This window comes from Homo sapiens, chromosome 1, assembly GCF_000001405.40.
Source record: "Homo sapiens chromosome 1, GRCh38.p14 Primary Assembly".
Classification (NCBI taxonomy): Eukaryota; Metazoa; Chordata; class Mammalia; order Primates; family Hominidae; genus Homo; species Homo sapiens.
Genome location: NC_000001.11, coordinates 40,397,024 through 40,418,389, shown reverse-complemented (window position 1 = coordinate 40,418,389; position 21,366 = coordinate 40,397,024). Strand labels below are relative to the sequence as shown.

The 21,366-nt window shown below is 40.0% G+C and overlaps 1 protein-coding gene across 14 annotated transcripts in view; it reads right to left on the bottom strand.

The window, feature by feature from the left end:
- SMAP2 (small ArfGAP2) overlaps positions 1 to 21,366 on the bottom strand; it is a 78,493-nt gene that overhangs the window by 4,937 nt on the left and 52,190 nt on the right. For 8 of the 14 annotated variants that reach the window (XM_047428009.1, XM_047428017.1, NM_022733.3 and 5 more), the window contains 8 exons: positions 11,521 to 11,654; positions 9,652 to 9,737; positions 8,555 to 8,633; positions 5,288 to 5,374; positions 4,150 to 4,231; positions 3,009 to 3,118; positions 2,049 to 2,214; positions 1,294 to 1,610 (listed from right to left, as the gene is read on the bottom strand). In XM_047428009.1, coding sequence (XP_047283965.1) covers positions 1,294 to 1,610; positions 2,049 to 2,214; positions 3,009 to 3,118; positions 4,150 to 4,231; positions 5,288 to 5,374; positions 8,555 to 8,633; positions 9,652 to 9,737; positions 11,521 to 11,654 — 1,061 coding nt within the window. Of the gene's footprint in view, positions 1 to 1,293; positions 1,611 to 2,048; positions 2,215 to 3,008; positions 3,119 to 4,149; positions 4,232 to 5,287; positions 5,375 to 8,554; positions 8,634 to 9,651; positions 9,738 to 11,520; positions 11,655 to 14,643; positions 14,707 to 21,366 lie in introns of all 14 variants that reach the window. The other 6 variants (XM_047428011.1, XM_047428014.1, XM_011541960.3 and 3 more) reach the window with 1 other exon arrangement.

Sequence of the window (21,366 nt, the reverse complement as noted above, 5' to 3'; positions counted from 1 at the left end):
ATTAATTTCCATCTAATTCTTTTTACTACTTTCTATATTTAGTTTTCATTCTCTTAGCTGTTTCATGCCTTTCCTCAATGCCGAATATATTTTCAGCTCAATCTATTGTTCTTTAGCTAACTTGTAATTGAGTCTTTATACGAAAATTTTGGCTTTTTCTTCAATTTCTTTTCTGAGTTTAGTAAACTTTCATTTCACAGCATGCAGTTTTTTATCCATTTTGGCTTTAAGTTTTTGAATTTCTGATTTAAGGTGTTTTGTCTTATCTGCAAATGTTTAAGGACATTTAATTCAGATTGGTAGATTGTGTAACAATTTTCTTCTGCTTCATGACTGTTTTTTGAGGGAGAATATTCATTACGTGAAATGTTTTGATTTTCATTTTCTATTTTCTTCCTGTAGTAGTTGTGTACAAATGTCAGCTTCCATGTTTGGTTCATTTTTGTAAGGTCTTATTTTTTCTCAATCAGCAATAATAGGTGTGAAGGTTTGGGGAGGCTTACTAAATTTCTTAGATTAAGAGCACCATCTTTTATTAGTGAAGTGGTTATTTTGGAAGAGGGAAGAAGGTGTATATTTGATTTTGTGATTCTCATTCCCATTTCTCGTGTCTTTCTTTCCTTCACCACCAGTCCTCTAAAGGGTACCTCCTCCTTTTAGGCCATGCCCATCTCCCCGAGAAGCAATGCTTTCCCAAGGTTACTACCTATACTCCTATATATCTGAAGTCTCTTATTTTTGATCCTCCAAGTAAACAGAGTTCTAATCTACCACATCTCAGACCTGTTCTCAGTATGTCTTTGATGAGGGTAGGTCCTTCTCCTTCTGGGGGGTTACTTTATCTGTGGTATTATTGCTAGGCCCCTGCTCCATCTTCTCTTTTTACAGTCTCCTCTGTGATGCTGGCTCCGCTGGATTTGGTGTTTATATGCCCATTGCCATGCCATTTGAACCTTGCAGTATTCTGTCTACCAAATGAGATTGTTGTGAGAATATCTGCATTCATTGTTTGTACAGGGTTTCTTTGTGTGTTTGTTTTTGCTTTTGAGAATGTGTGGAGAGATTCAGATTTAGGCAGTTGGGCTTATTCTACAGGAGCCCAGAACTCCTCAGAAAGTCTGACTTTAGACAGACCTTCTAGGAAAAAAAAAAAAAAAAAAAGCAAACCTAACAATGTCTCTTACATTATCTCATCTACATGGAAAGGATTCAAAGGATAGTGGAGAGGTACAAACCGAGAAAAACTTGAGGAAGGCTCAAAACTCTTGCTGCAAGTAAAATGGGGTAGCTTACCTGAGTAAGGTTCCATTGCAGCTGCTGAGCTGGCTGGACCCCATACACAGTCTGGGGCATAGCTGCCATGCCTGCCATGTAGCCAGCCTGCTGGGTGGTCATCATTCCATTCGGCACACCCATCATTGATGCCTGCATGCCACCCATATAGCCTGCAGGCATGGCCATGGGGGCAACCATCCCAGAAGCTCCTGGCTGAGCAACCATGCCTACTGGTGGAGGCATCATGCTCCCCATTATGCTGTTAGGAGGTGTAACCCCGGGGAAGCTGGGGTAGGCTGTGGGATATGCCATCTGAGCGGGAGCCATGAACATTGCTGCCAAGAAAACACACATACAGGTTGGTTAAAGAGGGAAAAACATAAAGTCAGCCCGAACTCTCCCTGGCTAACCCTTTCCAGCTGGAATTTCTCAGGATTACTCTACTCACAATGCTCTTTACACAGCAAAGTAGTTAGAGTCCCTACGAGGCCTGCTATAGCTTACCAATGGGCTGCTGACCGAGCCATTTTCCCTTTAGGGTCCAGATCCAGACCTTGAGCTAGACTTCACCGAATTGTGACCCCAGACTCCACAGAAGTATGACTCTGAGTTACATTAATTTCCATCTGCTGATACGTTGGTCATGTTCAGGTTTGTTTGGTGTATGACATCCTGGCCCCCAAAGCAACTGTCCTCTGTCACAATAAATAATTCCTGCATGGAAGCCCTCATGTCTCTACCTGGCACATGGCCATGACACCCATGAAATCTACCTTGAGTAGGCATTTGAGGCGTCTGGGATCCATACAGTGAAAGAATGGAGTCTTTAGAGAGCTGTTTCTTGCCTATTTCTTCTGATTTGCTCCCTGGCTCCGGAAACAGGTTCAGATTTTCAGGAACAGAGCCGGCACTCCCTGCAGTTGGCATGGAACCTACAACCTTAGGGCAAAGAGGGCGGGGGGAGAATTGAAATGGTTCTCATGGGGGTCTCTTTAAGGGTCTCCCTTCCCTCTCTGCTGCTCCTAACATCTGCAATAAGAATTCATGGCTCAAGTTAATAGCTTCCTAACATTTTTACCATTCAACTATCTGAACACACCTGATAATTAAGCTCTGTTACAATTCTTTCCTTTCACCAAAACATGTGATTTGGTAGGAACAAACAAACAAAACAACCCACAAATGATGCAGCAGAGGGAACTGAGTTTAGACCCCAGTGTAGCCATTTACTAGTATAACCACAGGCTAGTCACATAACTTTTACAAACTAATGTCTCCACATCTGTAAAATTTCCACTTTGCAGGTTTGTGGTGAAGGAGTGAAATTATTAATGAAATATACAAAATGATATACAAAAACCACCTCACACTGTGCCTGAGACATAGCAGGCGTTTCACGAATGGTAGCCATTAAAGGTTTCAAGTCTTTCCTACCTACAATTTTCTGGCAGTAACTCAGGCCGAGGAGCTAGCCTCAAGTATCAGCCTTCACAGTATCACACACTTTCCAGAGAAGCAACTCAAATGGCCCACCCTTTTTGAGCAGGAGAAAAAAAGGCATGAACAGCAATCTTAGACTGTGACAGAAATGACACAATGTTAAGGGAAGAATGAAGAATCAAGAAAACCAAAGTCCAACTCCACCAAGGAAGCATGACGTGGTTCCATGATTAAGATATCAAAATCACCCATTTCAGAATGTTCTTTAATCCTGAGGAGCCCACAAGACTCACCTTTCTGGAACCGGAAGAAGAAGGGGATGGAACAGAGGCCAACAGATCTAAATCCTTCTCTAGGGTATTGCTGGTCTTACTATTTGCAATGGAGCAGGCCACAGGAGCATCTAGAAAGAGAGATCGAAGTTAAGATGCAGCACTGCTTATTAAGCCCATGCCTTCCTTCTATTCTAGACAAAAAGCAAAGGTGGCCCATAAGCTCATGGACCTAGAAATCTAGACTTCTGGAACCATCTAGCATGGACGGGGCTTCTCAAAAGAGGCTTCACCCCACATTCCCAGAGTGCTCTGGGGAAGCCTGTAGCCCAGCTATCAGGCACAGGGCAGCAGACGCCCAGGCCTGAAGGGTATTTCAGCACCACAGTGGGGGGCTGGCTGGCTCCCTTCTGGCTATTTGAAGGGCAAGGTATGGAGGAGGGTTCATTTTCAGAGAGCAAGGAAAGGTACAGAAATTAGAAGCCTAAGTAGCCAATAACCTCAATCAGCAGAAGCGGATGGAAACAAAGTGCAACCATCAGTGCTGTGAAAGGCAGACAACAGGCTTTCTTTCTGAAAGGGCAGAATCACTAGTTCAGGATTTCAAAGGTTTGGAGAAAAATGACCACAGGCCATCTCAGAAACAGGTTGCATCTGAAAAATGAAAGGAATGGGGGCAGGGAGTGGAGTACAGGGAATTGACATGAGGCTCAAAGGTGCTGTTTAGCAAAACTGCTAACATTTATGGAGGGCTCAGTATGTGCCAGGCATGGGGCTAAGAGCTTTAGAGGCATTATCTCATTTAATCCTTCCAACAACACCTTTGAAGTAGAGACTCATTCTCACTGCACGGATTATGAAAGCAACATTCAGAGGTTAAGTAAACTACCCATGGTCACACAGACAGTAAGTAACACAGAGCGACACTGGCTCCAAAGGCCATGCTCTTAACCACTACACCACACTGTCGCTCTGAAAAGTGTCACAGTAAACACTTCCTTAGAGCAACTGCTCAGATGTAAAACAGATCAGGAAGAATGTGAGAGAACAGTCTTGGCAATGAAGACAAAACTGGAGAACCCCATCTCTACCTATCTTCCAGGGTCACTGAGAATTTATCAAAATTTGTAAGAACATGGAAGCTGAAAAGTCCAACTCTTACCAAGGCCCAACAAATCCATGACAGGCGCTGTGGATTTCGGGGAGCTTTTCCGAGGTAGCTGTGGGTCTTCTTTTTTCTGTGGCTAAGGTGAAAATATGTTATAGCAAGAAATAAGCAGGTGGTTTTGAACTCTTTTCCCATCTCCACTGTAAAGCCACGGTGTTCTTGTGGGTAGGGCTGCTGTTATTCAAAGAGAGTTACCAAAGAAACAAAACTCAGGAAGTATTAGGTGAAAGAATCAAGTCAGGAGGCAGAAGTGCATAAACCAAACCTAAAATGAAAAACAAAGATATCGCCTGTGATTGTCTGGTGTCCTAAAGAGACAGATCTTTCTGAAACCAAGACAACCACAGAACAGGGGATCCAACAGAAGCAGCAGTTTTTGGTCCCAGGAAAAGCCAAGAATAAAGGTAGGTATCTGATGGTACAAGAGCCAAGAGCCAACAAATCTCCCAGTGGTTAGAAAACCTTTTACTTTAACACCAAAAGGGAGGTTGGTTTAAAGATTACCTAATTCACTCTGCCAGTATCACTAGTGATTGTGTCCACAGACAATGTGATTCAGAACGATGATAAAAGACTCTTCCTTAAGCAATAGTAAGTAAAGTCCTCTCTCCCAAGATTCCAAGTTTTTATGTTAGAGATTCTACTACTACAGCCACAATATGTCCTGTGGAAAAAGAAGGGTGTCTGTTTCAACATGACAAAGCAAGAACATAAGAAGGGATCACTTAAAATGGACTAATATGGCCTCACTTCTGGACTGTTCTTCATTGAAATCAGAAAATGGGATACAGAAGGTCTAACAAGAGAAGGACTAATGTGGAAATAGCATCTGCTCAGATGGTGTCCCTCAGCCTTGGCATTCTGGCTTGGAATGTGCCTCTTGCTTAGATGGAACAGATGCATTTCCTGAGTTCTCATCTGGCCCCAAAGCGAAGCCCTTACAGAGCAGATTTAGGCAGCAACTGGTAACGAGAGAGCAGAAATGATAGCAGGCAGTCCAATCCAGATGCAGAACCCTTTAGCCCCAGCTGTGATGGTGCAATGGTACTCACCACGAGACCTCCTACTTTCCCTTTCACAAATATACACATACCTGAGGCTGTCCATACAGTGCAAATACTTCCCAACTTACCATTTTCACCTTCTCAAAAACAACAGGTTCCAATTTTTTTTCTGGAACTGGTTCGCTCCCTCTTTTCCACTTGTCATCTTTTTCTTTCTATAATGATTTAACAAGACAAAGAACACAGGGCCCAAGGTGACTAATAGTTGGATAAATCATAATTCCAAGTGTCCGAAAAGGACACCTCCAATCCCTATTGATTCTGACGTAAGTGTCTGACAAGCTTGGGGGGCGGTGTCTTGGTGTGGAGCATGAGAGTTGACCTCTTCCACATTGGCCTCAATGCTGTACGAGGCGTCTTCCAAACACCTTAGGCGCCCGCCCTCCTAACCCACTCATGACTGTTGACATTTGCAGTCGAGGCTATGTACAGACGCTAAAACATTTTACCAGTATGCTGCCCACCTGTGCCCCAAATTTAATTTGCCCATGCTTTGAGAGGTCTCCCCTCATATCAGTATACTAGTGAATAAGTTCATCTTACTCAGCTTATGTCCTTTGTGATATCATAAATTCAATCATAGGTCCTCTCAATATTCATTTTTTTAACAGTCAGAAAATAAACCTTAATTTCAAGTTTACAGATTAGAAGAACAAAAATTAAGTTTTAAAATCAAATAAACATCTAAATGTAAAACAAAACCACAAAGTAACCTTAAGAATACAGAGTATAGCATACATATGAAAAACATGTTTGGTCTTGCCAGTGATAAAAAATGCAATTTAAAATGCACTTTATGCAGGGAGAAAGATCTTTCTATAATGGTGGGAGGGATGAAGTGAAACCAGTACTCTTATACAATGCTGAGAAGAGAGAGTAAAATGGTACAAATTCTGGAAAGTATATTGGCAAAACTAGGAAGAGACAAATGTTGAAATCCTTTGACCTAGATGATACCATATCTTGTAATGTATCTTACGAAAATAGTCCAAAATATGAAAAAGGTTAAATGCACCAAGTTCACCCCAGAATTATTTATGCTAAAAAAAATTAAATAACATTTATGCCACAGAAGGGAAATGGTAAATAAATTATTACTTTCAGTGATTTAGCTACTCACTGAAAGATGATGCAACAATTAAAAATTATAAACACTATATAAGCAACACAGAAATATATGTTAAGTGGAATGAAGGCACGAGAAGTCTACATAACTGTATTATAATTATGCCTCCAAAAAGAAACTATTTAGAAAAAAAGGGGAACACACCAAGAAGATAATTATTAGCAAAGATAGTGAGAGTATGTATGGATATTTCACTTTAATTTTCATTTTCTCTAAAATAATTTTATAATCAATACATGCAGCTGTTTTTCTCATACAAAGTGTATGTCTTTAACACGACATTTCATTTAAGTTAAAAATGTTTTATCTGTCCATTATAAAAAGAATAGTTTTTAACAAAGCCAGTTTCTTTTCATTTGATATTAAACGTCTTCACTTAGCAAATACTAATTATTGGCATAAAAATCTTCACAAAATATGAAAAAAATCTAAGTACATTAAATAACAAATTCTGAAATAGCTTTTTGGTAAATGGGAGGTTATTTCCTTCCTAAGAGAAACATCCGGTAACCGGGCTTGCTTTCATGGGTACAGTATACCAGCAATGAAATCATGAATACCCTGAGGGCAGAGCTGCTGTTTCCACAATAGCTGTGTACAAATAGCAACTCTACTCCTTCGTCATCTGAATTATCTCAGATACCCTTTTCTGACCTCATCTGAGTTCATATCTTTAGGCACAATGAACAGAGCTGGGCAGACAGACCACAGTTTTCTACAAATAAAACGAAATGTGTATGCTTGGGTTCTAAACTGTTTTTGATGATGCCATGCAAGCTGTAGCTGCACACTGGGTTCTTTCTTGGCACAGATATGATATTGACAAGTCCCTTTTCTGGATAACTGCAAGGTAAGAGTCCTTCATACACAGTTGAGAAGGAATCATTTTTACCTAACTATATGTATTACACTTACTTGCCTGTGTTGAAATTCACCTACCAGTTAATGCCCCTTTCACACAGCTTCATAAGATCAGCCTGAAGTGGATTCCAATTAGCTTAACTTTTAATTACCCAGAAGGGCTTGGAGCTCAGTGCAAACAGTGATTTCACTGGCTATTATATCATTATTACATAACTAGAATAGATGATAGATAGGTAGGACCTGCGCTGGAAGTGGAGAATCCCTTACTCTCAATACTTCTGTGACTAGATAAATAGCCAATTATTCCTAAGAGAATTTTCTGTAGAATCTTGTCAAAGGTTATTTAAAGGTATAAATAGTCATATCTATTGGTTCTCCATTAGCTGTCATTAGTTAGGCATATTTTCCTCTTTCAGAAATCATGCTGTCTGTCCCCCTGTGTGTTATATTTGTCCTAGTTATCATATACTGTATTGCAGATTCTAAACATGCCTAGGATGGAATGTGTTCTTGGCAACTGGTAGCCAGTCTCCCTCTGAAACCCTTCTCAGAAACAAGGGTCCCATTGGCAATCAGTCCAACACACTGGTTATCAGCAGGTAATGCTGGAAATATACATTGGTCAAACTGAAGGAAACTCTGGTGATTTAATTACACCTACTTTTGTTGATTTCATTTACAGGAAAAAAGTATATATGTGTGTATATATCTATGTAGATAGATATAGCTGTAGTACATATACACATATACTGTTTTATTTGATCTAGTATATGCAACATGTCCATCCCAAGAAATAATTCAAAACTGGGAATCATCACTAACACCTTCTAACTACAGATTAAGGCAAGAATTCACCGATAGGCAGAAGTTTGTTTCTGCCTCATGGTCTTGACTCAGTAACTGGCACTTTTTACTTTTGCTTAAAAATTTATATTGAGACAGGGTCAAACTCCGTTGCCTAGACTGGAATGAAGTGGTGCAATCACAGCTCACTGCAGCCTCAACCTCCCTGGCTCACGTAATCCTCCGACCTCAGCCTCCCAAGTAGCTGGTTATTACAGGCATGTATACCACCATGCCTGGCTAATTTTTAAATTTTTTGTAGAGATGGGGGTCTTTCTTTGTTGCCCAGGCTGGTCTTAAACTTCTAGGTTCAAGTGATCCTCCCACCTCAGCCTCCCAAAGTGATGGGATTAGGGGATGAGCCACCACACCTGGTCTACTTTTGCATTTTTTAAAAGATGGTTTTGGAGTGTTTTGGTAGCAGTTCTTCAACGTGTTCTCTGGCCTGATTTAATAAGCACATTACTTATTGTGGACAAAACTTGAAAGATGTATAACCAACCCTAAAGGCATTGATGTCCAGACTTCGGTCCATGTATTTCTTCTTCTCATATTTGTCTCGAATAAATCCTTCAACAGCTCTGCAAAAAGCTTATTAAGGATGAATCCAACAAGCCTCTCAAACAGCAAGAAGATAAAAGATCAATTGTGTTCCACGGAGCATTGTTCTCCTCCTTCCCTCTTGCCTGGTTTCCCCACATGGCTCCTGCCTCTTCATATGCAATTTCTCTGACCAAAACCTTAAAATGCCTCTTTCACAGTTAAAGCAGGGAATCATTACTTCCTATGCTTTCCCTTCAGCGTGATGATAGCAGCAAGTGGAATTAACCTTCAAACTGACATTAGAGGCTGTATGTGGCTGTTCTAGAATATAGGTAAAGCAGTCAAATGTCTATTTTAAAGCACTTAGGTCAATAGGCCTCAAACAAAGGCACGTAAGTGCCCCTTAAAAACATAAACTCTTGTGCCCCACTGCCAAATTCTGACCAGTGGGTCTTCTGCAAGGCCCCAAATCTGCATTTAACAGGTTCCACCTGAACCCATTAAAAAAAAAAGAACCTTAACAAGATGATCTACAAACTACATTTTGAGAAGCACTGCCTTTAAGGGATTTGGTTTTGTGTCCTAGGTGCTATGCTCTGTTGAACAGATGGTGGAAGAAAGTTATTGGTTATTGACAAACTGGTAAACAACAGTTAATTCTTTCACCCAAGACATAAAAAGATGATAAAAATGAATGGCAATTTTGCTGACTGCCAGGGTTAACAGAGCACAATGAACTACTCTTTTTAATCAAACAATAGTTTCAGAGATCCAAAATAAACTAGTGGAGATGTAACTTTATAGAAGAATTCACAGTGAAATCACTGCAGTCTTAATTCCAGAGTGAGTCTTCTTCAAGTGACACCGTATGACAATTCCGACATTCACAAATACATGTGCTTTTTGTGCACCTTGATTGCAGGACAGAGGACAAGCAAGGACACTGACTAATCCACATAGAGATGACCCAGTCACATTACAGGACTGGAGTCTTGTCTGACTCTCCCCAAGCATCAAAATACCACTCAGCCTTCTAAGTTGCTCCAGAAAAGATACGGGTCTATCTGAGGTCGCCGAAAGGTCTCAGGAAGATAGGCTTCATAAAGTCGGTTTGCCTTTCCATTTCCCATCTCTTGCATGCACTGTGACCAAAGAGAATGTAGAAACATGGAACGTCAGATCAAGAAAGAACTGAAAAACTTCTCACCCAATTCCACTACTGTACAATTGAAGAACCAACCTAGAGAGTGTCAGAACCAACATTTAAACTTGTGTATTCTGATTTCCAATTCATGATTCCCTCTACCTTACTAGGATTTCCCAATCATTTGCCCCAAGCTGTCTTTCCCCCACTCCATAGGTTCCTTTTACTGAAATATTTGTGTACCAAGATACATTCAATTCAGTAATAAATCAAGATCTCATTTGAAACTCTTAGATACACAGCTACCAATTAAAATGTCTACTTGGCAGGCAATGATCAGTGTTATCATTCTGAGTTTATACTATTAATCAATTCCAATAAATGTGTTTCCCATTAGGCTTTTAAGTAGACTCCTTAACACTTGTGAGGGATAAATCCCAAGAGCTTTTTAAATCTCCAAATTCCCGACTATCTCCATGGCATATAATTTCCTTCATAAAACAGAGTGAAGTGTAACTGAAAAATGTAACTCACCTTTTTAGACCTTTAATACATCTATAAATACAATCTAAAGCAATTTCTAAAGCCATTTTCTGGTTAAGCGTAACCTCTGATTTCCATTACCAACTTTAGCAACTGGATTTGGGGGGCGGGGGGCTTCCCTTTTACTCCCAAGAAAGAAAAAATTGAAATTAAAGCGTTTCAATGTAGGAAGAGAATAAAAAATAATGAAGCTATATCAAGGTACAGCTCTTAGGCCAGCCAGACTCATTAACTTAGGAGTCTCACTCCAAGCCCACCAAGCTAACAGCATGCAAGATTCATGTATGCATTCCAGCTGTTACAGCTTTTTAAAGATGATAACAATAAATCTAATATACACATTGTCCTATTTAATATACTTTTAAGGTTAATTATGTTTAAATTTATTTAAAATTTTTGAAATTTTAAATGTTATCTAATTCCACATTTGTATGTGTCTAAAAATATCAGAAATGATGAGTTTACAAAAATGGATACATTTTAATATTATGTACCATTAAAATATTTTCTCTGTCTTAAAAAAAAGATTCATGTATGCATTTTAGTAATAAAATTTTCCCATAAGTCTATGATTTGGAGGTTTTTTTAAAAAGTGAATTTTTATTTATTTATTTTTTTGAGACAGGGTCTCACTCTATTGCTCAGGCTAGAGTGCAATGGCATGATCATGACTAACCGCAGCTTCAACTTCTGGGCTCAAGCAATCCTCCCACCTCAGCTTCCCAAACTGCTGGGATTACAGGTACGTACCACCAGGCCCAGCTAATTTTTTAATTCTTTATTTTGTAGAGACAGGTGTCTCACTCTGTTGCCCAGGCTGGTCTTGAACTCCTAGACTCAAGAGATCCACCCACCTCGGCCTTACAAAGTGCTGGGATTACAGGCATGAGCCACCGTGCCCGACCAAAAGTGAATATTTGAAACTATAAATTTTAGACCTGCAAATGCTAAGAGTCTTAGAAAATCACCCAAAGATCCCTCTTAATACTTTCGTGGGCCCATGGAATCCTAGACCGTAGACTATTTCTGTTTTTAAGGAGGTAAAATATAGGTAGAATAACTTGTATCTTAAATAGAAAGAATAAAAATTTCTGTTAGGGTACAAGAATCTGATGTTAAGTGTTTAACAACTAAATTTTCCTTTATCTTCACCTTTGTGCCAGGTTTGACTGAAATTCATCTGGAATTCCTTTTACATAGATATATGGAAGCAGCTGACTCACTCTTGGGCTAAGTACCTGAATCTGTTCTTGAGTCCACTGGTCGAGGTTAACTGACTTTACCCTGGATATGTGCACCCCCAGATTCCTGTGGATTCCAGCACATCGAATGCAGATGAACACACCAATGTTCCAAGAGGCCCATCGCGGCCCTGTGAAAGTCAGGAACAGGGCAATAAAGTACAAATTACAACATTCAAGGCCTAAACTACAATATTAGATTATCAGACATTTCTGCTAGAACATAAGTGAAATAATTTTTACCATAACCACCTGTTTATTGACTCTGCTCATTCCTCCATGTGTCAGCTTTTCTTTAGTTTAAATTTAAGTGTACAATACAGTGGTTTTTAATATATTCACACAGTTGTGCAATGATTACTACTATCTAATTCCAGAACATTTTCATTAGTCCAAAAGAAATCACAAACCCATTAGCAGGCACTACCCATTTTCTCCCAGCTCTTCCTCCCAGCCCCTGGCAACTATGAATCTACTTTTTATCTCTATGGATTGCCAATTCTGGGCATTTAATATAAAAAGAATTATATAATAAGTGGGCATTTGTGCATGGTACAATTTTTTTACAGTGTCTGCTAATATGAGTGTTGAAACGCAGATGTTATAAGACTGTTACTTATATTAAGAAAAATCCCAGGAGTGCAAAGCCATGTCATATTCTATTTGGCCGAGCACCTTACATAAACAGTCCTCTCCCAAGAGACGTTTTAGTGGTGATGGGCCTGTATTCACCACTTTTTAGTGGTGGCCTGTATTCGGTTTTCCTACCAGGAAAAAAGATAGATATGGCATGCTTGTCCATGGCTCAACCTGTAATTGAAACTGTGTTTATCTTCCCCCCAACCCCAGGCCTATAAAATATGCATTCGCATTAACTTAATAGGATCTTTTCCCCTTAGGCTGATGTTCCTACTTTACTCAACTACTGAAGTATCTTGTTTCAAGATTGCCAAATAATAAAGATGCTTATAGCAACAAAAAAGAAATCTCAAATATGAATTTTAATTCAAAACTGTTACAGAATCTCCCATCCCCTGCCAGTGTTACTCATCCTAATAATCACTCTGAAAAATTATCATACTCCTCTTCATAATTTTTACCCAGGAAAGAAAAATGACTTATATGAAACCTGCCAAAAACTTACTAAAAAATCAGAAATACTTCCTTCTCCATTATCCCACTTGGCAGAAATTTACCACATAAAATAAGTGTGATATAAAAATTAGAGGATGCAATAAAGAGGTGAAAAGACACTGATTTTCTACAGAGATAAACAGGGCCTACGCTTGGAACGACAACGAGCACAAGACTTCAGTTCTTTAGGACACAGACAATTATTTGGTTAGCTAGCAGGTTTTTAATTTTTTAATTTTTATTTTTAGAGGCAGTCTCGCTGTCACCCGGACAGGGAGTGCTGTGGCACGATCATAGCTCACTGCAGCCTCGTCTTCCTGGGCTCAAGCGATCCTCCTGCCTCAGCCTCTGGAGTAGCTGGGACTATAGGCGTGTGCCACCCTGCCTGGCTAATATTTTTATTTACTGTAGAGACTAGGTCTCACTATGTTGCCCAGGCTGGTCTTGAACTCCTGTCCTCAAACAATTCTCCCACTTTGGCCTCCCGAAGTGCTGGGATTACAGGTGTGAGCCATTGTGCCTGGCCAGCCTGAAGGTTTTGACAGCAGTTTTAATGAAGGAATGCTAGAATTGTGTGGCAGAAAATTAGTTTTAGAAATTTGAATTCATGATTATTACAAATAAGAATGTAATTTTTTGACAAAGATATCACTTATTTACTATCGCAAATACTGCAACAGAAGGCTCACATTCTCCTTATTACCACCAGGTGGTGCTCTCCGCCTGAAATTTTATCCCAATACCTTATTGCTATCACAAGCTCCGATTTACCTTCTAAAAAGATATTTAGTCCCTTCACATTCCTAGATGGATTTACATAGTTGGTCCGCCATGTATCTAATAAACACAAAAATGATTCGCACACTTGTTTCATGTGGGAGAGTGTCACGTCAAACACAAAATGAAAACCCTAAACTGATGTAAATGGGGTTTCTTAACATGTGGTATATCCATTTTAGGTTACAGTTTTCATAAAGGAACTCCAATAAGATCTAAGTTATATAAGATTTAAAATGGCACCAAGTTAATATTTCATGTTTCTTAAAGCACTTTTCCTTTGCTCTAGATTCCAGAGTCTAGAACTCATAAGACAAGTTAAGATGTATTTGTTTGCTAACAAAGTCAGAAGCCAAACACATTCATTAAAAATTAAAAGTCAGCTGTGAAATGTTACACTGTTTGCTTCCTGGCCTTAAGATGGGAAAAGGCAATTCCCAATCATCTAAGCCACTGTCACAGCTCCCACTCCAGCGTACTTAAAGTCTTTTTGCTTCTGAGGAATGCAAGGCTAAGACTTGGAGCCTTGGGGTGACTCTGAAGCCACTGACAAGGCCTCAGTACAGAAATACAGGCAACTGTATTTTCATGAAAAGCCAAAGAACAGCCTCTTCTCCCCACCAAATCCCTACCTGACATCCCTTGTGAAACCTTTTCCCAGTGAATATAGTGATAGTTATATCCCAGATACTCAATCTCTTTTAGTTTTGAGCCACTAGATTTATTAGTGAATAACTACATGTTCCATAAAATATTCTGAAATTAGAGAAAAGAAAAATAAAAGAGACAAATGTTACTTATATGGCTGAAAACATGGGGAAATGGTGTAGTTACTTTTATTTCATTTTATTCTTTACAGACAGGGTCTCTCACTCTGTTGCCCAGGCTGGAATGCAGAGGCAAGATCATGGTTCACTGTAACCTCAAACTCCTCGCCTCAAGCGATTCTCCCACCTCAGCCTCCCATGTAGCTGGGACTACAGGCATGCAACACCATGCCCAGCTAATTTTTTAATTTTTTTAAAGACAAGGTCTCCCTATGTTGCTTAGGCTGGTTGTGAACTCCTGGCCTCAAGGAATCCTCTCGCCTCAGCCTCCCAAAGCACTGGGATTACAGGTGGGAGCAACCACACTCTGCCAGTTGTAGGACTTAGGTTTGAGCACAGCTCCTTCAGTGATTACCTGTGTGACCTTCTGAGAGATACTTACATTTCCTGAGCCTTAGTTTCCTCATCTATAAAACGTGTACAATAGCATTCACCTCACAGTGCCCTAGAACACAGAGGGACAATAACTGAGGACTATATATAAGGATGTGGTATAGAATAAGGTTTCCAGAACCCACTTCCCATCCATCTTCCTGATAAGGGCCAGTTAACTCATTCATATATGTAATATATACCAACACTCTATGCAACACCACGGAGTGCTTCTTTTTATTTTATTTTTTTGAGACAGAGTCTCGCTCTGTCGTCCAGGCTGGAGTGCAGCGGCGTGATTTTGGCTCACTGCAACCTCCGTCTCCTAGGTGCAAGCAACTCTCGTGCCTCAGCTTCCCGAGTAGCTGGGACTATAGGCGCGTGCTACCACACCCCACTAATTTTTGTATTTTAGTAGAGACGGGGTTTCGCCTTGTTGGCCAGGCTGGTCTCAAACTCCAGACCTCTGGTGATGTACCCGCCTTGGCCTCTCAAAGGCCTGGGATTACAGGCGTGAGCCACCGCGCTCAGCCAGAGTGCTTCTTTTTTAAAAAGGAATATGAGTTCTGGTCCTAAAATATCAGAACCAAAATGAACTGAATACAGAGAGAAGAAATTTACCCTAGACCCAATTTCAAAGTCTTCTAGGCAACATGAAAATTTAAGCAGCTTCCTTTATTTCTCTTAAAATATTTCTTGAAAATGCACTTTTTAAACCCTCACCTGTTCCCTTTCTCTGCTACACACCCCCACCCTGCCCTTGTGCTTGCATATGCCCCCACTACACAGGCAAAGAAAGAAGGCCCAAGGCTGTCAACCTAAGTGGTGGGTACTTGGATTCCACAGTACCTGGTATTGCTGCTATAAGGCCAGCCTACTTTAATCTGGTAAACTTGCAAAAATGCAAGTGAAACCAATTGTTTCACTTAACATAATGACCTCCAATTCCATCCATGTTGCTGCAAATGTTAGTGAGTTAAAAAATAGTGGATCTCATGAAGAGAGAGTAAATCGGTGTTCTAGAAGCCAGGAAGGGTAGGCGGATGGAGGAAGAAATGAGGTTGATTAATGGGTACAAAAATACAGTTAGTCAGCCTGGCCAACACGGTGAAACCCCATCTCTACTAAAAATACAAAAAATTAGCCAGGCATGGTGGCACGTGCCTGTAATCCCAGCTACTGGGGAGGCTGAGGCAGGAGAATTGCTTGAATCCAGGAGTCAGAGGTTGCAATGAGCCGAGATCACACCACTGCACTCCAGCCTAGATGACAGCGAGACCTTGTCTCAAAAAAAAAACAAAAATACAAAAATACAGTTAGAAGAAATAAGATCTAGTGTTCAATAAATCAGTACAGTGACTATAGTAAATAATAATCTACCATATATCTCAAAATAGGTAGAAGAGAATAATTCAAATATTCCCAGCATAAAGAAAAGATAAATGTCTAAGGTGACGGATATAGCATTATCATGATTTGGTTATTACACATTATGTGAATGTATCAAAATATCACTTGTACCCTGAAAACATGTACATCTATTATGTATCAATAAAAAGAGATAAACCAATTGTTTAATACACATTGGTCATGGCAATCAAGGAAAAAAATATAAAAGATGCCATTTTGAAATTTAAAATGAAAAGAAATGCTGAGAGGCAATATGCCAAACAATTTTGAAAGCAAAGAGGATAGACAAGTGATGTAAACTGGTAGTGATCGGCACAACACAAGAACAAGGTCACACATAAGTGCACATATTCAACAGGAGCCTAAGAGCAGGCGTGGGCAGCATCAAGCAATACTAAAACTAACATAGAATCACTCTGCAATAAGGGATCAGGGAAAATGAAAAAAGTAGATGGAGATGGATTTGGTTGATCAGTCAAGAAATCAACTGTCCTAAGTACCAGTTCAGTATCGGAAAAATCTGGGTTTACACGGACCTGTTGCATGTATTTTGACAAGTTTCTCTAGGGCTTATGTCTCCATTTGTAAAATGAAAAGCATATACGTAATATCCAACTTATATTCAACATCTGGACAGCTTCTACATACGGAGTAACTACTGCTGCAAATTCCTCTTGCTGCTGAAACTTCCCCCACCACCAAAGCTGCCAGGATTAGAGGGGCTCTGGGATTGACAACTCAGCAGACAGAAAAGGGGAACTAGCGTGATGGAGGACTTCAAGCTACTACTAATATTATAATAATTATATCATTGAGTTCTAATCTATGGAGTTCCAAACAAATAAATATTGAGGAGGAAAAAACATTGATAAATTGATGGCTACCTATATTTAGACCTGCTGGCATAACGGACCTGTCAAAAAGTTCAACGGGCAGGCTACGCGAAGGGAGAGAACTTTCCCATCTTCCATCCAAATCCTGTGGAATCTATCTTGGAAACTTTTCCAGAATCTATCCATTTCTACCTAGACCTCATGTCTCACCTATAAGCATTCGTTCTTTTTTGTGTGTGTTTGTTTGTTTTGAGACGGAATCTCGCTCTGTCACCCAGGCTGGAGTGCAGTGGCGCGATCTCGGCTCACTGCAAGTTCCGCCTCCCGAGTTCACGCCATTCTCCTGCCTCAGCCTCCCGAGTAGCTGAGACTACAGGCGCCCGCGATCACGCCCGGCTAATTTTGTTTTTGTATTTTTAGTAGAGACGGGGTTTCACCTTGGTAGCCAGGATGGTCTCGATCTCCTGACCTAGTGATCCGCCCTTCTCGGCCTCCCAGAGTGCTGGGATTACAGGTGTGAGCCACCGCGCCCAACCAGCATTGGTTCTCTTAACATTATTTATTGTGTACCTATGTGCCAAGCAATTTGCCTGCTAAGTACTGGGGATACAAAGGCAGAGAAAATAAGGATGAGATTCCTCAATTCAAAAAGCTCACAGACTAACAAGCAATTAGTCTCCAGAATCCCACCACCAGAATAATCTTTCTAAAACACAAATCTGTACAGATCACACCTCTAAATATAAACCTTCCATGTAGTCTCATACACAAAGGTAAATATGTAAATTGGTGCACATTTTCTGAATAGCATATTCCAAACTAAGCTCTCAATCTCTTGCTACAAAATCTCTTCCTTTTTTCTTCATCTTAGTCAACTACACCTCCATCCATTCCATTGCGTCAGTCAGAAAATTATGCATCATGAAACCTCTCTCCTTCAGCCCCCACATCACCAAGACAAAAATATCTGTCAAATCAGTATCTCTTCTCTCCATCTGTATCACTATTTCTGTAATCTAAAGCCACCAGACTCTTTCGGACCACTGCAATAACCTCCTAATAGCTCTCTCTCCACTTTTACATTCTCTTCTCCCTTGAGCCCAAACCAAAACCATTCTCCACCAAACAGCCAACTTGAGCTCTTAAAGAAGCAAAGCCACATTGTGCTGCTTAAAATTCTTCTATTACTATTGGATTAAATAACAAAATCCTTAACATAGTTTCCAAGGTCTTAAAGGTCTAGCCCATGCCTCCTTCCGCAGCCTCTCAATTCCTATGGTAGCAGCCTTCTTTCATTTCCTCAAGGGACCAACATGTTCCTTCCTCAGGGCTTGCTGGACTTTGTACATGCTGCTCCTGCTGCCTAAAAAAACTCTTTCCCTAACTGCCAAATGCCACTTGCAGCCTGGCCAACTCCTATACATCACAAGGGTCTCAGCTGAAATGTTTCTTCCTCAAAGGAGTCTTTCCTTGGCTCCCCAGTCTAAACCCGACTGTAACATCTCTTCTACCCTTTCTTTTGGTTTTTACCTTACAGAAAATTTCAAACAAACGAAAGCAGAGCATAATTAACCATGAGCTTCAGCAATTATCAACTCCTAGCCAATTTTGTTTCAGCTATACTCCCACCCACTGCCCCTCAACTCCAACCTGGATTATTCTGAAGCAAATCCTAAATATCATACCATTTCATCTGTATATACTTCAGCATATATCTCTAAAAGATAAGGACTTTTTTTTTAAAGGTTATGAACTTTCATTTACCCTTTACTCTTTTTTTCACTCTTTCTTTTCTTTTCTTTTTTTTTTTTTGAGACAGGGTCTTACTCTCTCACCCAGGCTGGAGTGCAGTGGTGCGATCATAGCTCACAGCAGCCTTGGGCTGTCAGGCTCAGGCAATCCTCCCACCTCAGTCTCCCAAGTAGCTGGGACTAGATGCATGAGCCACCACGCTCAGCTGAATTTTTTATTTTTGTAAAGATGGGTCATTGAGTGGTGTTAAGAGTCAGGAAAAAAAAAAAAGAGAAAGAAAGAAAAGAAAAAAAAAAGAAATGGGCCAGGCACGGTGGCTCACGCCTGTAATCCCAACACTTTGGGAGGCAGAGGTGGACAGATGACCTGAGGTCAGGAGTTTGAGACAAGCCTGGCCAACATGGTGAAACCCCATCTCTACTAAAAATACAAAAAAAAAAAAAAAAAAAAATAGCCACACGTAGTGGCACATGCCTGTAGTCCCAGCTACTTGGGAGGCTAAGGCAGGAGAATCACGTGAGCCCAGGAGGCGGAGGTTGCAGTGGGCCGAGATCCCACCACTGCACTCCAGCCTGGGCAACAGAGCAAGGCTCTGTCTGAAAAAAATAAAAATAAAAATAAATCAATGAAATAAAAAAGAGACAGGGTCTCACTATGTTGCTCAGGCTGGTCTTGAACTCCTGGCCTCAAGTGATTTTCCTACTTTGGCCTCCCAAAGCACTGAGATTACAGGAGTGAGCCACTGTGCCTGGCCACCCTTTACTTTTTCTAAATCATACCATATTTTGTTACTATCTAATTATTTGATTGTTTAAGATGTCTTTCCCGCTTAACTATGTGTGCCACAAGAGCTGTCACCAGACCTGTAACATTCACTATCATATACTCACGGCATAGCATGGTTCCTTGAACATAGCAGGGAAGCAACATTTGCTTAAAGATTAATTAAAACTAAGTATTCTAGGTGCAGTGGCACATGTCTGTAGTCCCAGCTATTCAGGAGGCTGAGGTTGGAGGATCACTTGAGCCCAGGAGTTTGAGGCCAGCCTGGGCAACATATTGACACCCTATCTCAAAAAAACAAAAGAACTAAGTAAATCCTTTGACCCCACTTGTAAGAATTCATCAGGGAAAAAACAGGTCAAGTACACAAAGAAATACGTTAAGAATGTTCATTATTACATCTTTATGAAAATTAGAAACATTAATAGGTTACATTAAGGAATTATGGTATCACCATTTAACGGGGAAAAATTTTGGAGCCTCTATTTCATATAAAAGTATCTCCATGATATAGTAATTTTAAAAATCCAGTATTAAAAGAGTACACATGAAACAATTCCATTTTTTTTAAAATATGAATAAATGAGCTCGGTGTGGTGATATGCCTCTGTAGTCCTAGCTACTTGGGAGGCTGAGCGGGAGTACTGCTTGAGCCCAAGGATTCAAAGGCTGCAATGAGCTATGATTGCACCATGGCACTTCATCCTAGGGAACAGAGTGAGACCTTGTCAAAAAATAAATAAATAAATAAATGTACGCGTATGCACAGAAAAAAAATCTAGAAGACTATATGTAAATTATTACTATATCGGGATAATGGGATAATGAAACATCTATTTTCTTCTCTATATATCCTCTCTGAATTGTTTGCAATGAGCTTTCTATTAATTTTGCAATGGGAAAAACCAGTACAGATATCGTAAAAACAAAACAACGTAAGCATCCAGGGCTCCTTACTGGCTGCAGGGTAAGTTGAAACTCCTTAACATAATATATAAAGTCTGTTGAGAGCCTTGTACTTTACACATGCTGAGGAAGTCATAATTGTGAAATATGCAGCACACTCAAATCTCTTTGACTACACCATTCTTTCTACCTGGAATGGCTTTCTCCCTCATTCCCTGCTTGACAAACTTAAAAATCCAGTTCATCTGTGATGCCCTCCAATGGAATAAACCCTAACTTTCTCTATTGCTAATAGCCCAGGGTATGCTTTGTTCTTCTAATACTTAATATCTTGTTCGAGTTGCTTACAGGTCTCTCTTGTCCTAAATAGACTATGAGCTCTGGAAGGCAATGACCATGTTCCTTCATCATTTATCACAAACACTTGACACAATGCTAGCAAACAGAAGATGGTACACAATAAATGTGTGTTAAATGAATTCGTCAATAAGCAACATAAATGTATATATTTTTCCTGTTTTGCAAAATGAAGGGAGAAGTTTTCAAATGCCTTAAAGGATAGCTGTAACACAGAAAACGGATTAGGTTACTTTGGAAAGGCTTCAAAAGCAGAACTGGCACCAAGGAGTAGAAGTTGATTTTAGCACACTCTAGAGAAAAATTTTCTAACAATTAAGGTTGTGTAAAAACCAATGCAGCATATCCAGAAATTGTAAAATCTCAGTTAGTGCAGTGTTCAAACAGAGGTTTGGTAATCAGTTCTCAGGGATGGTAGAGAAATGATCCCCATGTGGTGAATTGGGTGAACAATGAGCCCTACAGTTCTTTCTACTACTACAGTCCTACTACTACAGTAGATGATTTGCAGTAATTTTTAGGTCCCTTCCTGCTTACCGTTCAATGGTTCTGAAAACGTAAAATGAAACAAACAATCTATGAAGATGTTAGGTCTTGAGGAACCTAAAACACGGAATCAAATTTGGTTCATGGAGCCTATACCAGGCACTGAAAACTGGTTAAATGCAACATACATATAAGGAAAAACCTAA